Raw genomic sequence first — 24784 nt, 5'->3', positions numbered from 1 at the left:
TAGCTTTTTGGTGATTGCAACTCTTAGCATTGCTTGGCTTTTAATATATCACTCCAGTCTCTGCCTCTGTGGTTACATGTGGTTCTCCCTGCATCTCTGTCTAAACTTTCCTCCTCTTAGAAAACACCAGTTGTTGGATTAGGGCCCACCCTAACTCCAGAATGACTTCATTTTAACTTGATTACATTTGCAAAATCCAGTTTCCAGATAAGGTCACATTTGTAGGTACCAAAAATTAGGACTTGAACATGTGTCTTTTTGAGGGACACAATTCAACCCGCAACAGTCTTGAACGTGAATTGCAGTGCATTGACATTAGAAAAGGAGGCAAAGAAGACATCAAGTATAGGCAACTAAAGAAATCTATGTACAAGAAGGAAAAAGTGAGAAAAAGGTGGTAGATGGGGGGTGGTGAGGGGACACCATGTAGAAGGAGGTTTTGTGTGTTTTTAGTTGTTACCCTTAGTGTTTTAAAGCTTGTAAAACTGCAGATCCAAGGCCCCACTGAAGAACTACAATTACAGGTTATAATTTGCAAAAAAGGCAAAATCAGTTGTCTTGCAAATATAAGATAAACACACCAAATATTTTGTTCAACTCATTCATTAATGAGGGAATCAGTAAAATGTTAAAACTGTCCATAGAGTATTTGAGAAGCTAGGTGTTTATAGGCAATGTTAGGATATGATAGCTGCATTAGATGGCCAAAACTGATTAATGGCCAACAAAGCCTTAAACTTTTACCTATAGGTTATTTTTTCAACTATAGAAAAATTATGTGCATCTTTACCAAACAATCTGTAAGTTAACATGTAACCAAGACTGCAACCTTTAATCAGCATTAAATAGCAGGTGGTAATTATTTTGCCCTATAACTTTGAGTGGCTTTTGCTTTTTATGACATTTAAAGGATGTGCTGCACACTTTTTTTTTACCCTATTTCCAAGTTTCAGGTCATCTTTCTGACATACTTGTTAGAATCCAGGGAGGTGGAAATAGGAGCCTGAGAACCTTTAATTAGCCTGTAAGTGATTCTAACATTGACTTGACTTTGAGTACCACCAAATAAGAGAAAACTGAGAGGCTTTGAGTGCCCATCTGAGGCTGGAACCCATTACTATCTGATGACACTCATCTCCTGGGTTTTGTGAGTTTTTTCTCTTTCTATAGTGCTCAACTCTTTGACAAAGAGAAATTATTTAATGATCTAGGGTGGAGCTTTTGCCAGGCAGATATATGCTCAAGAAGAATACAGTGGCTAGAAAGCGAAGATATCAGAAAGAGTGTAGTTAATGTATTGGACGTGAGGCCCAGACTAGGTAGAGAAAGAAGTGAGGCCAGGATCAGCTTAACAGATGGAGAGAGAAGAGAGAAATCCAGTTCACAGAAAGTATGCAGTGGGTGTAAGAGAGCTGAGAGGTCAGGAGACTGTAACCAGAAGAGCGAGATGTTAAAGTTTTTAAGATTTCAGAGTTGGGAGTAGTTTCCAATAATGGCAAAAATAAAGTCCAGGTTGTGGTCCTGAGAGTGAGTTACTGAACTGCAGTAGAGGTCATTGGGTTGATTAGTGAGCATTACTTTCTCATAAATTTATACTTTCTACAAGACACTAGAAGCTTTAAAGCATGCTATAAATTTAAATTTCCTAAAATAATGTGCCATTGTTCTCTTAACTTTCGCCAGATTGTAGCCAAGTGTACTGGGTCAATAAACAATGGGCAAAAGCTGTTCTGATCTTTTATGACAATAATAGTACTCACAAATATTTATTGAGCACATTGTTATGGCTTAGGACCTTGACACCAGTTGTTTTCGTATGGTATGTCGTTTAAATCTTAACCTTGGTAGCTTGAATTGTTAATATTCCCATTTTACCCCTGGCAAAACTGTGATTTAGCAGCAATAAGTAACCTTTTCAAGGTCATAGTGAGTGGTAGATAGGACATTTAAATTGATTGTATGACTCCAGTGTGTATAACCATTGCATTCTAGGTAGAGTATGTGCATGGTGGAGTTGAAGAGGATTTATATATAGCTCACATTCCTTCATGTTATTCAGTTTTGTAGATTATCACACATGCAGAGATGAGTTTGAGCTTAAAAAGAATGAAGCTGGGGGCAATGTCTTTTTAAAAAAATGGTCACATTGACCCTCTTTGGACTCTGAATGCATGTGCATCTTATGCAGTATTTTAAAAATTAAATAAATGAGCTATCAAGCCACAAAAAACCATGGAGGAAATTTAAATACATTCTACTAAATGAAAGCAGCCAATCCGAAAAGGCTACCAACTATGTGATTCCAACTGTTTGATGCTCTGGAAAAGGCAAAACTAGGGAGACCCGAAAAAGATCAGTGGTTACCAGGGTTTTGGGGGAGGTAGAGATGAGCAGGTGGAACATGGGATTTTTAGGGCAGTGAAACTACTCTGTGTGATACTATAGTGGTGGGTACATGTCATATATTTGTCCAGACCTATAGAATGTACACCAGGAGTGAACCCTAATATGAACTGTGGACTCAGGGTGATAACAATGTGTCAGTGTAGGTTCATCAATTGTAACAAATGTATCAGTTTAGTCAGGAATGTTAATAATGAAGGAGGCTATGCAAGTGTAGGGGCAAGGGATATATGACAAATATCTGTTCTTTCTATTCAGTTTTATTATGAACCTAAAACTGCTTTAAAAAGTGAAATATATTTTAAATACTAAATTTATGTTATATATGTTTTACCACAATTTAAAAACTGTAGGGATGGAGAAAGATATACCTTGTGAACACTAAAGAAGACTGGAGTCACTGTATTAATTTCAGACAAAACTTCAGAACAAGGAAAATTACCAGGGCTAAAGAGGACATTAAAAAATTAAGTGAAATTAGAGTAGTATTTGAATTATCTGAGATTTGTAGTGATGCAACTTAACAAACCTCACAATTACAAGGTTGATATAGTACTTCTGGTCTAAAAATTCACAGTACCAAATAATAAAAACTTTATTGTAACCAAATGAAATCAGATACGTTAGTTAACAGTTGCAACTTACTCTTCTGAACACTTTTCTGTTTCGTAAAAGCTCCATGCTTTCTCATTTTAAGATCTCGCAGATATATTATGTGACCAAAGTGACAGTTATTTAGAGCAAGTATAGTCAGACTCACCAGTTCACCAAAAAAAACCTTGAAAACTCACTGGAAAAGTTTAAACCTTTGCTCTCCATTTTTGGCATATTTGTGCAAGTGTATCCTGCATTTGCTGTTAAAGGAAATAATTTTGGAAATCACAATGTTCATATTATTAAAATTCAGTAATGCATATATAAGAATATAATTAATACAATTTATCAGTAGTGATATGGCTAAAATCTGGGGGTGGCTGGAAAGTCATATGGAATCAGCATCACAAGCACATACTTAAACAAAAAACACACTTGATTTGGAGTTTAATTAGAGTAGCCTAAAAAAGCATGCATTCTTTGTTGCAATAATTCATTATCATTTAAATACGTTTAATTTTCTTTCTCTTTTTTCTAGGGATAAGTAGTAAAAAAAAAAAAAAAAGGGGGGGGGTTTTCCTGTAATAATATCAAAATTTGTATCTGGCTTAACACATCTGACCTTACACTCTTCAGAGGAAGTGAACACATGTTCTATGAGTAATTCCCTAGATAAATGTGCAGCCAAAGAATCATTAAGATCAAATTCCAGTGTTTATTCTTAGCTGAAATAAAATTAAAATTCAAAAATTAGGTTAACAGGCTTCTACCCTTTTTGATCAGTTATAGTCTGGTGGAGAACATGTCGAGGAGGAAGATGAAAAAGAGAACCTGTCAGTGATAGTGCTGATGGAGTTTGGAGAAGGAGAAAGTTAGTGAAGTTGGAGTTGGTGAGAATGTATGGATTGGTGCTCTGAATGTTGTTTTTTCCAAGAGTAGTTTTACTCTTTTTGTCAATTCTGCCTTATGAGCAGGAATAATAGTAGGTGGTGTAGCCTGGTCACAGATCATTATTCTTCCCAGTGTACAAAGCTACTCAGAATTAATAGCAGTCACAGATGATTACTGTTAGCTCCTTTCCCTCCTAATGTTAAGAGCTCCTGACCCAGAAAAAATATATATCATTTGAGGTCTGTAGACTAATAAAAAGCATTTCTTTATGTTAAAGAAAAATAAAACATTCCTTTTACTTTTTTTAAAAATTGGAAAGTCGGAACATAAAACTCTTTAGTATAACTGCTGATCTTTGGGGGAAAACCAGTCTCTTAGTGAATAGAACAGCATTACCCTTTGGGCCAAATGGAACCCAGCCAAGAGCTAAACCAGATCTTTTTTCTGAGATTTTCTAGCTTTAACTCTAAGTCAGCACTTAACCTCAGCACTATTCACTTTTAAGGTTGATCATTCTTTGTTCTGAGGGACCTCCTGTGCATGATAAGATGTTTTAGCAGCTTTTCTGGCCTTTACCTACTAGATGCCAATAACACCCCTCCCCCTCCAGTTGTGACAACCAAAATTGTCTCAAGACACTGCCAAATGGGAGGTAAAATTGCTTCTGTGGGGTCCTCTTCTCCTCTGCCCTGCAACCCACCTTTTGAGAATCACTGCTCTAAGTGTATTACATAATTGGTTGATCAAGAATGTTTTCCCAATTTTAGTTCTACTTTTAAATATTTTGTCGTATTTTAAGTATCTTGGTGGAATAGGCTTTACTTTTAAGAACTGTAAAAATAAACTGGAAACACATTTCTAATTTAGGGGTGAAAATGAGAACGAGGTCTTTCCTTGATTTGCAAATTCAATGTTAAGACCTTTGCATACCTAGCACAGTGTTTTTCAGATTGCAGTTGGGGACACATTAGGGGGTCATGAAATACTTTAGTGGGTCATGAGCGTGCATGCGAGAGTGTATAGGGTCACGATGTAAACGGTATTTCTTTTGGAATAAGCAAAAAAAATATGTATATGTCTAGCCTTCCCTTTTGAACTGGAGTATTCTGAACATATATTTCATAGCAGTAGGTGCTTAGTTAAGCTATTTATCCAGTCAGGTTAAACTTGTCAAATATTTTTTGAGATACAAAGCATTCAAATTTGTTCATTGCTGTAGATTGGAGACCTGTTGTTAACTTTAGTTTCTGGTGCATATCATCTTGCTTGCAAGAGGAGGAAGCTCTGAACTCCATCACATATTTTAGAACATTCTTGGCACGTTACTTGTGGACTGTTCCTGCCCTCCCCCTACACAAGGTTATGAAAAAAGACAACTCTGTAATTATTTTCTTCATCAGCATGCATGCAAAAGTCCTGTTTTTCATCAGTTAGTATTTCTTTTGTTAACTTTTGTAGAAATTATCCTTCATGTTGGAAAGGGCAGTAAATGTTCGTGTATTTATTGAGAATCAAACATGAGCATAAGACACCTAAAAATTACTCCTAACACTCTGCGTGTACTCTTTGTAAAAATCATTTTTAAATGACAACCGTAAGTTGAATAATAGCCTACAGGGAATACCTTAAGTGTGACAATCTGCCACTACAAAGTCGTAGATTCAGCTGTTAATAGAAAATACTTGAGTTTCTGAAATTCATCTACACTTTCAATCACCTTAAAAGCTGCCTTTGTTTTCTATTTACTAAAGAACGTGCATTTATATTTTGAGTTACTTTGTTTATTCAGTGGTTATTTTATGAAGATTGAACCACCTACAGGAAGAATGTTTTCATCTTTTCAGTAGTAAGGGCATTTCAGACTAGTTTTATAATGTTAGGAACTCTGTCTTAGGGTGGTAGTTTTTTCCTCTGAGGAAAAATGTTAGTGATTGTTTAAGAGTTATTTATCTTACAATTCATTTATTTTCACAGTAGATTTTTTTATATCCCTATGTTTTTAATTTAGCTGATATCCAGCAGAGATATTCAAGGTATTTTCATGCCAGTTTCAGGGGAAATTTGTGGTTTTTTTTTTTTATGGACTGTGTAACATCCTACATTTTATATTTGCAAAAGACCAGTGGATATATTGCACAGAAATCCACGTTTATTACATTCTGCCCTTATATATTTTTGTGTTACTGAGTTGCTATGCCTAGTTCTTGTGTATGAAATGAAAGCAAGTATAGAAGATAGCTAAAATTTAATGTTGATTAAAAACTAAGCTTTGTGTGAGAGATACTTGTTCAGAAAGCCAGATTTCTAGTACTGACCTTTAAAAGTAGACTAAGGAGCAATACTAATATGGATTCAACAATAAAATTTCTTTATCAGCCAAGGATACGATTTTTAAGTATTATCATAAGAATTTAGGTACAAAGTTGTTCCATCATTAAAGTTAGCTTTGAGACTAATTTGAAATTACTTTTTCATAGATTAATGTACAGTTTCCTTATTCAATTAATAAACATTTATTTAGCATCCACCACTTACTAAAAACTACATGAAATTCTTATTCATAGGCTTTTGAAAGTTTTCATCTTTTCTAGCAAATATTAGCACTACATTTGTTCTTAAAAATAATCAACATAGTAGAAAGTTCTATTACAGCCCTCTGTGTCCATATTGAGTTTAGAACTCAGCAGTGTCACTTTTAATATAGTTTTTGTGTAAGTGCTGTACTGTTCCAAAAGGTGATTTGTAAATAACTGTTTTGAAGGACAAAATGCTGTTATTTTAAAAGCATATATTCATCATCCTACTAGAAAGAGATTTATTTGAATCTTATTGTTATGGAATGCTGAACAGTACAGTTGGAGCAGCTGCTGAAACTCCTAAATGAACATTAATTTTTCCTTCTGGGTGCTCAGTAAAAACAAAATACAAACTTTATGATAAAGAATGCAAATATTTCATTTTTACAAACATGTTGTTAACTAAGTTTCTGTATTTAGCTGCTGAATAAATTTCTGGAGCAAATAATGCTGCTGCCAATATATAAAGGTCATTTTTTCAAATCTTTAATTTTACTTCTCCTTATTCTATAGGGAAAAAATAAGGTGTGCGGGAGGAACTACTAAAAAGTTAAATTTCAGTAAATATAGAATTAAACTTCATTAAATATTGCTTTAATAATTTCAAGAAGGAGTGCCTTGTAGTCTGTAATAGTCAGTAATCTGCATAATCTTTCGTACATAGTGTTTTTAGAAATATTCAGCTTCTCGACATTTATGCAGCCAACAAACATATGAAAAAAATGCTCATCATCACTGGTCATTAGAGAATGCAGATCAAAACCACAATGAGATACTATCTCATGGCCAGTTAGAATGGTAATCATTAAAAAGTCAGGAAACAACAGATGCTGGAGAGGATGTGGAGAAATAGGAATGCTGTTACACTGTTGGTGGGAGTGTAAATTAGTTCAACCATTGTGGAAGACAGTGTGGCGATTCCTCAAGGATCTAGAACTAGAAATACCATTTGACCCAGCCATCCCATTACTGGGCATATACCCAAAGGATCATAAATCATGCTACTATAAAAACACATGCACACATATGTTTATTGCGGCACTATTCACAATAGCAAAGACTTGGAACTAACCCAAGTGTTCATCAGTAATAGACTGGATAAAGAAAATGTGGCACATATACACCATGGAATACTATGCAGCCATAAAAAAGGATGAGTTCATGTCCTTTGCAGGGACATGGATGAAGCTGGAAACCATCATTCTCAGCAAATTACCACAAGGACAGAAAACCAAACACCACATGTTCTCACTCATAAGTGGGGGTTGAACAATGAGAACACACGTACACAGGGAAGGGAGTATCACACACTGGGGCCTGTCAGAGGCTGGGAGGCTGGGGAAGGGATAGCATTAGGAGAAATACCTAATGTAGATGATGGGTTGATGGGCACAGCAAACCAACATGGCACATGTATATCTGTGTAACCTGCGCATTGTGCACATGTACCCCAGAACTTGTATAATTTTTAAAAAGTTAAAAAAAAAAGAGCTTCCATTCAGCTTCTCACAGATATTTTGGTTCATGATTTGTAAATAGATGAAGCTGACCACATTTCTATATTTTACATTCACTTTTTGAACAATTAAGTTGCTCTTCTTTTGAAGATTGGATTTATTATAACATGTATATGTATATTTAATGACTACTAATTTATATTTACTTTTATTTGTTCAGAATTGAAATCTCCTTGAACTTATAAATTATATAAGTAACCATTGATTATTTTGACCTAACTTGTCTTCTCTTGCCTCCTGTGAATAGATATACTAAGAACAATGTCAGGTCTTGTGATTTGTTAAAGGATACAAAGTTACAGCTAGATAGGAGGAATCTACCACTGCAGGATGGCTATAGTTAACAAAATTATGTAGTTTCAGGTAACACAAGTGATAAATGTTTGAGATGATGCATTTGCTAATTGCCCTGATCTGATCACTATACATCATATGTATCAGAACATCACTGTGAACCCCATGAGTATGTACAATTATTTGTCCATTAAAAAAAATAAAATAGAAAGTATGGGTGGTATAAAATATTTGATGTCGTGCATATTTTTAAATCTTCACAAAAAAATCATTATAGAGGAAGTAAAATATGTGAGAATAATTTATCATTCTTTTCACTTTTTTTAAAGGTGATGGATGTGGACACACTGTACTAGGCCCTGAGAGTGGAACCCTTACATCCATAAACTACCCACAGACCTATCCCAACAGCACTGTTTGTGAATGGGAGATCCGTGTAAAGATGGGAGAGAGAGTTCGCATCAAATTTGGTGACTTTGACATTGAAGATTCTGATTCTTGTCACTTTAATTACTTGAGAATTTATAATGGAATTGGAGTCAGCAGAACTGAAATAGGTAGGACTTTTTTTTGTAAATGTACATGTAAATACATCATTGTCTCAATGATGTATTTTTTTGATATTAACATTAAATAACCATGCAGTGTAAGGTGCTATGTGGGAAATTATTGAATATGTGTAAAAATTTTGAATTTGAATCTTTTGGGAAGAGAAGATTCTTGTCTGTTTACTTTATTTACTTTTCTAATAAGCACATATTGGTACCCTTGCCCAAGATGCCACTGTACTACTAAGAAGGAGGAAGTTAATTCTCTGTTTTTTTTTTTTTGTTTTTTTTTTTGAGACAGAGTCTTGCTTTTGTAGCCCAGGCTGGAGGGCAATGGCGCAATTTTGGCTCACTGCAACCTCCGCCTCCTGGGTTCAAGCTATCCTCCTGCCTCGGCCTCCCAAGTACCTGATTACAGGCGCTCGCCACCATAGCCGGCTAATTTTTTTTTGATTTTTAGTAGAGACGGTTTCACCATGGTGGCCAGGCTGTTGGCCAGGCTGGTCTCAAACTCCAGCCTCAGGTGATCCACCCACCTCAGCCTCCCAAAGTGCTGGGATTACAGGCGTAAACCACTGCACCCAGCCAATTATCTCATTTTTAAAAATGTTTTCCTTTCATAGTTTTATTTGCAATTGAAGAATACAAGTATAATTAATGCTTAGGAGACAGTATAGCATGGTGATTAAAAACAAGGGTTTTGGATCCAAACTTCCTGGGATTAAAGCATAACTCTCATCAGCTTGCTGTGTGACTTTGGCCAGATTACCTGACCTCTCCATTTTTTCTCTTGTAAAAAATACAGGGAATGAACTAGTATGTGTAACGTGCTTAGAAAAGTAAACAGCACCTAAGATATAATATATGCTTAGTAAATGGTAGTGGCCATTGTTGTTGTTCTTGATTAAGAGCAGTGGTTCTCAATTATAGCTGCATATTAGAGCCACCTAAGTAGTAAACAATACCATAAACCCAGTTACCATCCTAGACCAGTTGAATCAGAATTGATTAGGTGGAACCCAGGCCTCAGTATCTTAAACGCTTCCTGGGAAAATCTCTTGCAGTCACGTTTAAAAACCTTTGATTTAGGCATCAGTACCTTTCTTAAGCAAGAAAGGTGGAAAAATTTGTAAGGCTTTTTAGGTGAACTAACATTATAAAATTAGGAATTCTCTGTGAGTTTATTTAGAAACATTTTTTGGTTCCAGTGTGTAAAATATCCTTCAGAACTATAATAGGAATCCAATATACTGTTCTTTAAATACCATACTATGTTCATCCTCTGGCTTCCTCTCCATCTCTAGTGAAATCCTTCATCTCTTCTTTACTTTTTTGGCCTCTTATCTACCAGAGGAAAAATTCCTGCCCTATCTCCCAGGCTGCTGATTGATAAACTTTGGTGCTTCTCAGTCACTTCTTGATTAACCTGGTGGTTTGAGCACCACGTGCGTATTGCATGAATATATGGTGTTGAACAAAGTTTTAGGAACACAAATCGCCTGAGGATGTAGAAAAACTTACTGTGATATTAACACTAATAGAAGATAACTGGATAGTAGATGTCTCCTGCAGATGCAGTAGGGAGCAGACAGTACCACCTGAGCATTCTTTAAGCAACAGTGAGGAAAAGTGAACCACAGTTTGGTCACCCCTCTAACACTTTACAGGAGATAAGGGAGATAGAGAAATACATTCTACTGAGTGTAAGGACTAAATTAAGGATATGAGAAATTCTGTAGAACAAACGACCTAGTTTCTTCAACATATACATAGCATTTTAAAAAAATAGGAGGAGGGGGAAGGTAACTGTTCTACATTGTGACATATCTTCCTAAAATAATATGTAGACTTTGCTTGGATCTTGATTCAAGCTAACCACTGAAAGAAATTATTTTTAAGATTATCAGACCGAGGTGGGCGGATCACGAGGTCAGGTGATCGAGACCATCCTGGCTAACATGGTGAAACCCTGCCTCTACTGAAAATACAAAAAAATGAGCCGGGCGTGGTGGCGGGCGCCTGTAGTCCCAGCTACTTGGGAGGCTGAGGGAGGAGAATGGCGTGAACCCGGGAGACGGAGCTTGCAGTGAGCCGAGATCGAGCCACTGCACTCCAGCCTGGGTGACAGAGCAAGACTCCGTCTCAAAAAAAGAAAAAAAGATTATCAGAGAAATTTGAAGCATTGGGCATTCAGTGATGGTAAAGAATGACTGTTTTAGATGTAATAATGTTAAAATTATTTTTAAGTTCTAATTTGTTAGAGACATTCTCAAGTTCAAATGTCTAGGATTTATGTTTAAGTATTTCAGAAATAGGGAGAAGGATAGGAGAAACAAGGGCACATTAGTGAAGCTGAGTAATGGGCAGATGGGAATTGTTACACCCTCTTCTTTCTACTTTTGTGTAATTTTGAAAATTCCTATAAAGAAAAGTGGTTATGTTAAAATAAAACAAGAGAATTATATATTTAGATAATACATAGTGGCACTGTTGGTAGAGTGGAAGAGTGGCGTGGGGAAGATTCTGAGCACAGGTTTCAAATTGCTCGCTGAATTCTAGTCAAAGCTCCAGGAGTTACTTGTTGAGAGTCCTTTTTCTACAAAGTGTTGAACCTGCCCAGACTTCATAGTCACTTTCTGTACGGTCTGAAGATTAAAAGAAGTAATACTTTGCAGTGTTTGGTGTGTAATAGGTATTTAATAAATCTCAGCTTTCCCTTATTTCCATTGCTTTTTCCTATTCTCCTCATGGGTGAATGGAAAGCTGCAGAAAGGTCAAGGGGCCTGAGTGATGATGGTTCCTGTTGGGCTTCAGTTTGTACCCACCCTTCCCCCATCACACCTACCGTATACCCACTGGTCCTCCATTTGGTAGCAGCCTATGGTTAGTGGTAGAAAAGTTTCTTAACGTATTGCAGAGAAATAAAGATAATTCAAGAATAGTCGTTTAACATTCTGGTTAAGATAGGTCTGCAGAGAATTACAGGATAGAAACAAATACATTGTGGGCATCAGGATTTCAGGGATAATGTCACTGAATCTTTTTTTTTCCCCCTATATCATGTTTTCTCAGTGCCCCTTTAGAAAACAAGCATTAAAGGAGAAGAGAGTTCATTGGTCTCTCTGTGTTTCTGATGTTCACATTTGAAGTATATGGGCTAATGATTTCGTGGGATGTGTGTCTGATGCTTCCTCATTATTAGATTCCAGTGACAGACTTTTGGCAAGAATACCACAGATGCGCTGTTCTCAGTGTATCATATCATGGCACATGAGATTGATTTGTCCCATTTCTGGTGCTATTAACTTTGATATTTTGGCTAAGGTGATGTCTCTCAGTTTTCTACACTGTAACTATGCTGCTCTTCATAACCAATACATGTCTGATTGGGAGACTCTTTGAAATGTTGGAAATATCCTGTTACTCATCAAACTTATACCCACTAGATTTGGGACATATTAATCTTGTATGAATCAATTATTATTTTCTAATTTCATTATTCCTTCTGTATTTATTAGGTTTTTTTTTCATACTAAAAACAGGATCTTTCCCTTCTCTCCCATTTGTTTGTTTATATCAGTGTGAAGTCAATGGATTCCTGTGTTAGGCCATCACTTATCACCCTTTCCTGTCATTATTTTGGTGCTCAGATTGTCCCAAATCTCCAGTGGGAGCCTCTTCACGCTAGCTCCTATGTCCTTTGGTGATGTCCTCATCATTATTTGAGTACCTCTTTATATTCTGGCACAGGATATTCTAGGTTTATCTTGTGATTGCCCTGCTCCAGCCCTGGAATCAGCCATTTCTTCAGGGAACCCTGGTTCTTTTTAGTGGAGAATGGTATTAGAAATCAATGTCTGGTTGCTAGGTTTAGACCAATGAGCTACCATATGCCTATCAACAAATAGATTTAGTAAATAGACATTTGTATATACATATGTATATACATGTACCTGTTATATCTTTTTATATTTATCTGCCTGTATTAAAGAGCATGAGTTTATGCTGATACCTTTAATACTAATGCAACATTATAGGGTTCATTCTATCCTTTTCCTATTTTTCTTTCTAACTCACTTCTCTGACAGTGAGAAATCTTGCTCCCATTACCTGTAATGTATTTACTTGTTCAGTGCTATAACCAGAAAATAGTTTTAGAATTGCTAACCCATGACTCGAACTGAAAGAAGCCTGCTACCTAGAATTCGTACCTGAGGACTTAGAGTCTAAATACTACATTAAAAAATTCTTTAGGCTGGTTCTTACTCCACCACCACCTGCCCTTCAATGTGGTTATGTTACTCATTTGAAATATGGTTTGGTTCATTTCTTTCTGTTCATCTTCCATTATAGGTTTTTTCTTTATCCTTGTTGGTTTTCTTTCTCTTTTGTTGAATATGTTAAACATTAACATGATTCTCAAAGTTAAAACTGTACAAAAAGGTAGATAAGTGACATTCCTCCCCTTTACAGTGCATTTCTTCTTTCCTTTTAACCCCATCTCCACTCACTCCCTGTAGCTAACCAATTGCATTAGTGTTTGTTTTATCTTTTCCGTACTTCTTTATACAAATGACATTTATATTTTCTGTTTTCTCCTTTCTTATACGAACTTTAACATTCTTTCAATATTCTTTTGTACTTTGCTTTCTCCCTACCTATCAGTGTTTTCTGGAAATCACTGTGCATCATTTTGTAGGATAGTCCTCATTCTTTTTATAGCAGTATAGAACTCCATCATGTGGATGTATCATAGTTTATTTAATCACTCTTTTATGAATGGTTGTATTGGTTGCTTTCAATATTTTACAGTTACAAACTATTTTTGTATTCTTAGAGGTGTCTTTGGTGTAGATTCCTGAAGTGATTGCTGAGTCAAAAGGTAAATTATATACTTTGTTAGACATTGCTAAATTGGAAGTTATACCAGTTTGCATTTCCATAGCATAAAAATGCTTGTTTTCCACAGCCTTCCCAACAAAGTGTGTTGTCATATCTTTTAAGTTTTGCCAATTGATAATGATAAATAGTGCTCAGTATAGTTGTAATTTGCATTTCTCTTACTATGAGTGAAATTGAACTGTTTTTTCCCATATGTTGACGGCCTTTTTTTTTTTTTTTTTTTTTTTTTTTTTTACTTTTTATCTCTTCCTGTCTTTTGCCCGTTTTTCTGTCAAGTTTTTTTTTATTTTTAAAGACAGGTCTTTCTATATTGCTCAGGCTGGCCTCAAACCCCTGGGCTCAAGCAATCATCTCACCTCAGCCCCCTGAGTAGCTGGGACGACAGGCACACACCATTTGCCCATCTGTCAAGTTTTATTGGTCTTTGTTTCTCTCAGGTTTTAGGACTTCTCATTATCTTTTAGGGATATTAGTCTATAAACATAATAGTGGTATATGCTACAAATAATTTCTCCTAATTTGTCAGTTGTCTTTTGACTTTGTTTATGTTACTTTTTTTCAACCATGCAAACTTTTAAAAATGTATTTATAGTTAGATTCATTAGTCTTTTTTTAAATTGCATCTAGATTCTAAGTCCTAGTTAGAAAGCTTCTTCCTATATCCCAACTAAAGATAAATTTACCCATTTTTTTCATAGTGGGATTATATGATTTCATTTTTTATATTTAGATCCCTGGTACATCGGGGTTTTTTTCTTTTGTATGGCATGAAGTATAGATCTCATTGTGTTTTCCATATGACTAACCACTTGCCCCATCACCATGCATTTAAAAGTTTATCTTTGTCCCAGTGGTTTGAAATACTGCCTTTATCATATACTGCAGTTCTGTATGTGCTTGGGTCTATTTCTGGACTTTGGGTTGCACTCCACAGATGTATCTATCCACATACCAGAATGTGACTGTTTTGTAAAGGCTTTCAGAGGCTTTACGGTATGTGTTAATGCCTGATAGGGCTTAGTCTCCTTTCAGAAACGTTCATTTTTAGTGTTTTCCTGGGTCTTCCTTCCTGTTTGTTTATCCATGTGAAGTTTAGTATCAGCTTATCTAACTCCACAAAAAAGCTCGTTGGTGTTTTTATTGACATTATACTGTTTATAAATTAACTTTATGATGTTGAGTTATCTTAAGTTCAAAACCAAGAGCTCTTTTTTTTTCTCCTTTCTTCACATCTACTTTTGTTGTCTTTAAGGATTGTTTTAAACTCTTTCTCATGTAGGGTTTACACATTTTTTGTTAAACTTAATCCTTAACATCTTATCTGCTTTGTTGCAATGGAGATGGAGGTGTTTTTGTTTTGCTGTTATATCCTGTAACGGGTTCCTAATTATGTGAGATTGTATTTCTGTATGTTGATTTTTTTCTGCTATTTTACTGAGTTTTTAAAATTATTTCAGTTAGTTTTATCATTCACTTTCTAGGGATTTTCAGATACACAATCACATCTGCAGATAGAGATAGTTCTACTTCCTTTTTTTCCATTTCTTATGCCTATGGTTGATTCTTTTATCTAATTGTATTGGCTAACACCTCCAGTCCAGGACTACGTTAAACAGTAGTGGAGAGAGTGAGCATCCTTTCCGGGTTCCTTATCTTAGTGGAAATTTAAAGTGTCTGAGCTCAGGTTGCCGTAACAAAATCTATAGACCGAGTGGCTTAAAAAAACAGCAGTTTACTTTCTCAGAGTTTTGGAGGCTAGAAGTCCCACATCAAGATGCCAAGCAATTCAGTTTCTGGTGAGGGCTCTCTTCCTGGCTTGTAGATGGCCACCTTCTTCCTGTGTCCTCACATGACGAGGTTGGAGGGATGAGGAGAGAGAAACAGCAGGTTCTCTTATGTCTCTTCTTATAAGTACACTAATCCTGTTGGATCAGCGCCCCACCTTAGGAAAACTAAAACCATTTAATTTTAATTACCTCTCTAAAGAGCCTAACTCCAACTCTAGTCATATTAAGAGTTGGGACTTCAACAGCAATTAATTTTGGGGGGCGTACCAGTATCTGGTCCATAATAGGAAGTATCCACTGATTTCCATTAAGTGTTGTTATCAAGAAAGACTATTGAATTTTGTTGAAAAGCTTTTTTAGCATCTATGGAGGTAATGATATGGTTTTTCTACCTAAATCTATTGGTATAGTGTATTATATTAATGGGTTCCCTAATATTGAAATAACTGTGCATTGTTGGAATAAGTATCTCTTGGTTATGATGTGACATTCTTTTAATGTGGCATTGGATTATGTTTCCTAATATTTTATTAGTATTTTTGCATAAATATTGGTGTGATATTAATTTGTAATTTACTTTGCATTTTCTTTATCAGGCTTAGGTATTGATACTATACATACAAATAAAAAGAAATATGAAGTTTTCCTTTCTTTTTAGTTCTCTGGAAAAATTTACAGAGAATTTGAACAATCTAGTTTTTGAAGGTTTCACTCTGTGAAGCTATTTTAGCCTGGTGCGTTTTTGATAGGATGCTTCCTTAATGACGTTCTCTGTTTCTTCTCAGGAAATTGGTCTGTTTGAGCTTTCTACCTCTAATGGGTCCAATTGTAATAAACGGTACTTGCCTGGTAAATTACCCATTCACCTAGGTGATCTAATATATTGGCCATGATGTCTGTAAAATAGAATCTTACAGTTATTAACATGGTTATTTCAGTGTTTTTCCAATAGTTATTTACCTCCTGTCATTTCTTATTTTACATATTTATGCTTCCCACCCTCTTTTTTCATTAAATTAGCTAGGGGCATGCCTATTCTGTTAAATTTTTCCAAAAAATGAATCTTGATTTATTAGAACTATTGTTTTTCTGTTGTCTACATTATTAATCTCTATTTTCATGATTTAAAATTTTTTTTTTACTTTGTTAACTGCTAGTTTTAGCTAGGCATTTAATTCACTTTTTCTTTCATTTTTATTGATAAAAATATCTAAGCCTATGAATTTTACTTTGATCACATCCTTAAGAATGATATCACTGATTAATATGGGTCAATTATATCATTTTTTAGGAATTTTTAAACTTTGGTTTATGTTTTTCTTTTACCCAATAATTGTTTAACAGGTTTATTTCTAATTGGAAGGACCTTTCTTTGTTATTGCTAATAATGTATAATTCTATTGCATTATAGTCAGAGAGCATTGTAAAATTTCTACTTTATAAGCTAATGTATGACCAGTTTTTTTGTGAATATTCTATATATACTTGAGAAGGTTTACTCTCTACTGTAAAAAGTTTGATATGCATTTAAAAATCTGTCTTTATTTTGCTGTTTCTGTCTTCTATATACTTATTTTATCTGTTTGATCTCCTATTTGGTGTGGTTCTTTCTCTTTCTTTGCTGTCTCCTGGAGGTTTTGCTTTTATAAAGTTGCTGTGCTGTGTCGACTAGATATTCATAATTCTAATATCTCCATTTTAAATTATGACTTCTCACATTTAAAGGTTTCCTACCCATCATATATTACTTTTTAGTTTGAATTCTCCTTTGTTTGACACCAGTATCACACACATACCCTCCTATTAATTCCTTATTGTTTTCATTATCCTGCTGTGTCTGTCTGTGCCCATCACTTTATTTTTAGCCTTTCTGAATCACTTTGTTTTGGGTGTCTTTCTTGAATATTGCATATTTTTGGGTCTTTATGAGCCAAATTGCAAATATTTTTAATGTCTAAGTTAAATCCATTCGCATTTATTTATAACTGATACATTTTAACTCTTCCATATCTTTCAAAGTTATGTATATTATATTTGTTGTGTTCATTTTTTCTACATTGTTTTCTGTCCTTCTGGTTTTTTTTAAGTGTCTTTTCGTGTTTGGTAAGGTTTATAGTTTTGTTCTAGGTGCTGCTTTTCAATTTATACTTTTTAAAATGCCTGTGGTCCCTATTGTCTTAATCATTTACTATCCGATTTGTCCATTTTTAATGGTATTCTTTATTTTCTACCTATTGCCTATAAAACATTCAATGAACTAGACTTCTTTCCCCTTCCTTCTGTACCCAGTTTCCTCAGTTTTATTCTGTTTAGTGTGGCTACGACAGAATAACTGAAGCTGGATGTTTTATAAAGAAAAGAGGTTTATTTGGTTCATAATTCTGGTGGCTGGAAAGTGCAAGAGTGGACAGCTCATCTGATAAAGGTTTTGTGCTGCTTCAACTCATGGAGGAAACTGGAAGGGAAAGGGGCTTGTGCAGAGAGAGAGGGGACCGAGGAGGCTGACTTGCTTTATAACAACCCACTGTCATGGTAACTAATCCAGTCCTGTTAGAGTGAGAACTCACTCCCGTGAGATGGCATTAATCAATTTATAAGAGATCTGGCCCCATGACCCAAACAACTCCCATTAGGCCCCACTTTCCAATACTGTCATGCTGGCAGTTAAACTTCAACATGAAGACTATACTTTCAGAGATCACTTCTGTAGTTTATTATTAGAAAGTTTCTCTGAATGTGTAGAACACTGGAAAAAATGATCTAAGACTACTGTGAATATGTCTGTGCACACAAACTAGAAAGTCTAGAGGAAATGGATAAATTCCTAGAAACACACAATCCCACAAATTTGAATCAGGAAGAAACAGAAATCCTGAATGGACCAAGTAATAAGTAGTGAGATTGAATCAGTAATAAAAAATCTCCCAATGACAACAACAACAACAACGAATGCCCAGGACCAGATGGATTCACAGCTGAATTTTACCAGACATGGAAAGAAGAACTGATGCCAATTCTACTGAAACTATTCTAAAAGATGGAGAAAGAGGGAATCCTCCCTAATTCTTTCTATGAACCCGGTATCACCCTAATACCAAAGCCAGGAAAAGACACAACAAACAAGGAAAACTGCAGACCAATATTCCTAATGAACATAGGTGCAAAAATCCTCAACAAAATTCTAGCAAACCAGATTCAGCAGTATATCAACAAGATAATTCAGCATCAAGTGGGTTTCATACCAGGAATGCAAGGATGATTTGACATATGCAAATCAACAAATGTGATTCACCACATAAATATAATTAAAAACAAAAAAAAATCATTTCAGTAGATGAAGAAAAAGCATTTGATAAAATTGAGCATCCCTTCATGATAAAACTCCTCAACAAACTAGGCACAGAAAGAACATACCTTAAAATAATAAAAGCCATATATGACAAACTCACAGCCAACATACTGAATGAGGAAAAACTGAAAGCATTCTTCCTAAGAACTGGAACAAGACAAGAATGCCCACTTCTGCCACTTTTATTCAACGTAGTACTGGAAGTTCTAGCTAGAACAGTCAGGCAAGAGAAGAAATAAAGGGCATCTAAGTTAGAAAAGAGAAATCAAGCTATCTCTGTTTGCTGATGATGTGATCTTATACCTTGAAAATTCTAAAGACTCCTCCAAAATCTCCTAGATTGGATAAATGAATCTGTAAAGTGTCAGGTTACAAAATCACCATACACACATCAGTACTACTGCTATATACCAATAATGACCAAGCAGAATCAAATCAAGAACTCAGTCCCATTTACAATTGTTGCAAAAAAAGGAAAAAAAAAAACCCTAGGAATATACTTAACCAAAGAGGTGAAAGATCTCTACACATAGAACTGCAAAACACTGATGAAAGAAACCATAGATGATACAAACAAATAGAAAACCTCCTATGTTCATGAATTAAAAGAATCAATATTGTGAAAATGACCATACTGCCCAAAACAATCTACAGATTCAGTAGAGTTCCTATCAAAATACCACCAATGCCTGCCTACCTTTCTTTCTTTCTTTCTTTCTTTCTTTCTTTCTTTCTTTCTTTCTTTCTTTCTTTCTTTCTTTCTTTCTTTCTTTTTCTTTCTTTTCTTTTCCTTTTTCTTTCTTTTTTTCTCTCTCTTTTTCTTTCTCTATTTCTCTCTCTCTCTCTCTCTCTCTTTCTCTATCTCTTCTTCCTTCCATTTCCCTTTCCCTTTCCCTTTCCTTTCCATCTTACTCTGTCACCCAGTCTGGAGTGCAGTTGTGCAATCTTGGCTTACTTCAGCCTCAGCCTCCTGCCTTAGCCTCCCAAGCAGCTGGAACTACAGGTGTGTGCCATCATATCCTGCCAAAAACACCATTTTTCTCAGAATTAGAAAAGAAAATCCTAAATTCAAATAAAACCAAAAATCCTGAATAGCAAAAGCAGTCCTGAGCAAACAAAAGAAATCTGGGGGCATCACATTAGCTATCTTTAAGTTATACTGCAAGGCTACAGTAATCAACACAGTATGACAACTGGTATAAAAATAGACACATATACCAATGAAACAGAATAGAGAACCCAGATATAAAGCCAAATAACTACAACCAACTGATCTTTGACAAAGCAGACTGAAACATACAATGGGGGAAAGGACACCCTATTCATTCAGTGGTGCTGGAAAATTGGATAGCCATACACAGAAGAATGAAACTGGTTCCCTATCTCTCACCGTCTACAAAAATTTACTCAAGATGGATTAAAGACTTAACCCTTTCCCCATTTGCTCTGAGAATACTCACCAGTGGCACTTGCGGCTGCATCATTTACCCCAAAGTAAATTTGCCACAAAATAGCACCCTATGATTATTATTTTTGCATTGCTCTAGTATATCAACTTTGGAAACAAAAGACATTATCCTATTTATAGCACTCCATTTTTAGTAGCGGTATTTCCACTTACAAAATAAAATCTCAGCCACTGAAAATGTCAAATCTTAGAAAACAGCATTCCTACACATGATGCTAACATTGTTCATGAAAAGTTGTTGGCCAAGGATTAGTTTCATGAATTCAGTTTTTCTGAAATAGATTATTCTGATGATTCAGACAATTCTAATGTTAGTTCTGTTTAGAAATAACTCCAAGAACAGTTTTTATATTTTATTTTCACATTGACTATCAGTCAGATTTGCTTCAGCCTCAAAGAACGTGTTTATGTAAAATTAAATGAGCGCTGGCAGCAAGCCACACCTTTTTTTGAAAACAGGAAAAGGGTCAAATGTAAGACCTGAAACCATAACAATTTTAGAAGAAGCCCTAGGAAAAATTCTGGATATTGGCGTAGGCAGAGAATTTATTAGTAAGAGACAGAGCAAATGCAACAAAAATAAATAAATGGGACTCAAACTGAAAAGCTTTGTACAGCAAAAGAGATAATCTGCAGAGTAAACAGAGAACCTACAGAATGGGAGAAAATATTTGTAAACTATACATCTGACAAAGGACTAATGTCCGTAATCTACAAGGAACTGAAATTAGCAAGAAAATAAATAATCCCTTAAAAAGTAGACAAACAACATGAACAGACATTTCTCAAAAGAAGATACACAAAAGACTAACAAACATATGAAAAATGCTCAACATCACTAGTCATCACAGAAATGCAAATTAAAACTGCAGTAAGATACCACTTTGCCCTAGTCAGAATGGCCATTAAGAAGTCAAAAAACAATAGATGTTGGCGCAGACAGGGAACACTTATACACTGTTGGTGAGAATGTAAATTAGTTCAACCTCTGTGGAAAACAGTATGGAAATTTATCAAAGAACTAACAGATCTACCATTCAGTTCAGCAGTCTCACTACTGATATCTGCCCAAAGGAAAATATGTCATTATATCAAAAAGATACCTGCACTAGTATGTTTATCATAGTAGAATTCACCATGGAAAAGATACGGAATCAACCTAAGAGTCCATCAAACCAATGAGTGGATAAAGAAAATGTTATATATATATGATGTAAACATATAGACACAGTGGAATACTACTCACCCTTAAAAAGAATGAAATAATGTCTTCGCAGCTCCTTGGATAGAACTGGGGATCATTATCCTAAGTAAAGTAACTCAGGAACAGAAAACCAAGTACCATATGTTCTCACAAGGGGGGACTAACCTTGTGGATAAATAACAGCATACAGAATGCTGTAATGGACATCGGAGACTCAGAAAGGGGGAGGGTGGTAAGGGATTAAAAAATCACCTGTTGGGTACACTGTACACTATTTGGGTGATGGGTACACTAAAAGCTCAGATTTCACCACTATAAAATTTATCTGTGTAACAAAAACTACTTGTACCCCTAAAGCTATTGAAAATTAAAAAAATATATAAATAAATTTCAACATGAGATTTCATGGGGACAAACCATGTCCAAATCATAGCACTCTCAGAATATACATTCATAACACACAGCATGTATCATATCTTCTTATTCTTCAACCCCATCTCTAACTTTTCTAGATCTATAATTAAATATAATAAATGATCACTGTCTTTTTCCTCAAGTCCTCCCACTAGTCTATTGTTTGGATGAAGTTCATCTTTGAATAGGTTGATTCCTTAAGAAGGGCTTATGTTGCAGATTTTGCATGTTTAAAACTGCTTACTTTGTAAATTTTTTATGGCCTTTAGGCTTCAGGGGGCTGCTTGATAGTATTTAAATCTTGGATTCAAATGTTATTTCTGGTCGGGCACGGTGGCTCACGCCTGTAATCCCAGAACTTTGGGAGGCTGAGGTGGGCAGATCACAAGGTCAGGAGATCGAGACCATCCTGGCTAACAAGGTGAAACCCCGTCTCTACTGAAAATACAAAAAAAGTAGCCGGGCGCGGTGGCAGGCACCTGTAGTCCCAGCTATGCAGGAGGCTGAGGCAGGAGAATGGCATGAACCTGGGAGGCGGAGCTTGCAGTGAACCAAGATTGTGCCACTGCACTCCAGCCTGGGTGACAGAGCGAGACTCCGTCTCAAAAAAAAAAAAACAAAAAACAACAAAAACAAATGTTATTTCTTTGAGTTAAAAAAAATGCTTTTCCATGATTCCCTTACTTCATATTGTTTTTTGAGAAGTCTGATGACAATTGAACTCTCCTGCCATTATAAGGTATTTGGTTTTTGTACAGTGACCATGAGGATTTTTTTCTTTACCTTTAAAGTCTATTAGTTTTCTAAGGATATGTGTTGAAGTTGATCATTACAGGTTTTCACTGGTACCCAGTGGACCCTTTCAGTATGTAAATTCAAGTCTTCCTTTATTTCTAGAAAATTGAATTGGATTATAGTTTTAATACTTCTTATTTAATGATTTTTTAAGTGACATGAAAATTGTACATATTTTATAAAATACCTAGGAATCCAACTTACAAGGGCTGTGAAGGACCTCTTCAAGGAGAACTACAAACCACTGCTCAATGAAATAAAAGAGGACACAAATGGAAGAACATTCCATGCTCATGGATAGGAAGAATCAATATCGTGAAAATGGCTATACTGCCCAAGGTAATTTATAGATTCAATGCCATCCCCATCAAGCTACCAATGACTTTCTTCACAGAATTGGAAAAAACTACTTTAAAGTTCATATGGAACCAAAAAAGAGCTGGCATTGCCAAGTCAATCCTAAGCCAAAAGAACAAAGCGGGAGGCATCAGGCTACCTGACTTCAAACTATACTACAAGGCTACAGTAACCAAAACAGCATGGTACTGGGACCAAAACAGAGATATAGACCAATGGAACAGAACAGAGCCCTCAGAAATAATACCACACATCTACAACCATCTGATCTTTGACAAACCTGACAAAAACAAGAAATGGGGAAAGGATTCCCTATTTAATAAATGGTTCTGGGAAAACTGGCTAGCCATATGTAAAAAGCTGAAACTGGATCCCTTCCTTACACCTTATGCAAAAACTAATTCAAGATGGATTAAAGACTTAAATGTTAGACCTAAAACCATAAAAACCCTAGAAGAAAACCTAGGCAGTACCATTCAGGACATAGGCATGGGCAAGGACTTCATGTCTGAAACACCAAAAGCAATGGCAACAAAAGCCAAAATTGACAAATGGGATCTAATTAAACTAAAGAGCTTCTGCACAGCAAAAGAAACTACCATCAGAGTGAACAGGCAACCTACAGAATGGGAGAAAATTTTTGCAATCTACTCATCAGACAAAGGGCTAATATTGAGAATCTACAAAGAACTCAAACAAATTTACAAGAAAAAAACAACCCCATCAACAAGTGGGCAAATGATATGAACAGACACTTCTCAAAAGAAGACATTTATGCAGCCAAAAGACACATGAAAAAATGCTCATCATCACTGGCCATCAGAGAAATGCAAATCAAAACCACAATGAGATACCATCTCACACCAGTTAGAATGGTGATCATTAAAAAGTCAGGAAATAACAGGTGCTGGAGAGGTTGTGGAGAAATAGGAACACTTTTACACTGTTGGTGGGAGTGTAAACTAGTTCAACCATTGTGGAAGACAGTGTGGCGATTCCTCAGGGATCTAGAACTAGAAATACCATTTGACCCAGCCATCCCATTACTGGGTATATACCCAAAGGATTATAAATCATGCTGCTATAAAGACACATGCACACGTCTGTTTATTGCGGCACTATTCACAATAGCAAAGACTTGGAACCAACCCAGATGTCCATCAATGATAGACTGGATTAAGAAAATGTGGCACATATACACCATGGAATACTATGCAGCCATAAAAAATGATGAGTTCATGTCCTTTGTAAGGACATGGATGAAGCTGGAAACCATCATTCTCAGCAAACTATCACAAGGACAAAAAACCGAACACCGCATGTTCTCACTCATAGGTGGGAATTGAACAATGAGAACAGTTGGACACAGGAAGGGGAACATCACACACCGGTGCCTGTCATGGGGTGGGGGGAGGGAGGAGGGATAGCATTAGGAGATATACCTAATGTAAATGACGAGTTAATGGGTGCAGCACACCAGCGTGTCACATGTATACATATGTCACCTGCACGTTGTGCACATGTACCCTAGAACTTAAAGTATAATACAAAATATATATATAAAAAAAGAAAATTGTATATATGCTGTACATTATGTTTTCATATGTGTATACATTGTAGAATGGGTCAATCAGACTAATAAATGCATTACCTCACGTACTTAACGTTTTTGTGGTGAGAACACT

General features: G+C 35.7%; 1 protein-coding gene and 1 pseudogene across 3 annotated transcripts in view; both read left to right on the top strand.

Moving 5' to 3' along the window:
* The window catches only part of DCBLD2 (discoidin, CUB and LCCL domain containing 2), a 105755-nt gene that overhangs the window by 11324 nt on the left and 69647 nt on the right, over window positions 1–24784 (top strand). For 2 of the 3 annotated variants that reach the window (NM_080927.4, XM_024453348.2), the window contains exon 2: window positions 8605–8832. The exons of the other annotated variant lie outside the window; for it this stretch is intronic. In NM_080927.4, the coding sequence (NP_563615.3) occupies window positions 8605–8832 (228 nt within the window). The remainder of the gene's footprint in view (window positions 1–8604; window positions 8833–24784) is intronic. 3 annotated transcript variants of the gene reach the window in all.
* LOC124906384 (uncharacterized) lies at window positions 18192–18289 on the top strand (annotated as a pseudogene).

The sequence above is a fragment of the Homo sapiens genome, chromosome 3, assembly GCF_000001405.40.
Source record: "Homo sapiens chromosome 3, GRCh38.p14 Primary Assembly".
NCBI lineage: Eukaryota > Metazoa > Chordata > Mammalia > Primates > Hominidae > Homo > Homo sapiens.
Note: the sequence above shows the minus strand (reverse complement) of the source record. Positions and strands in the feature narration are given on the sequence as shown.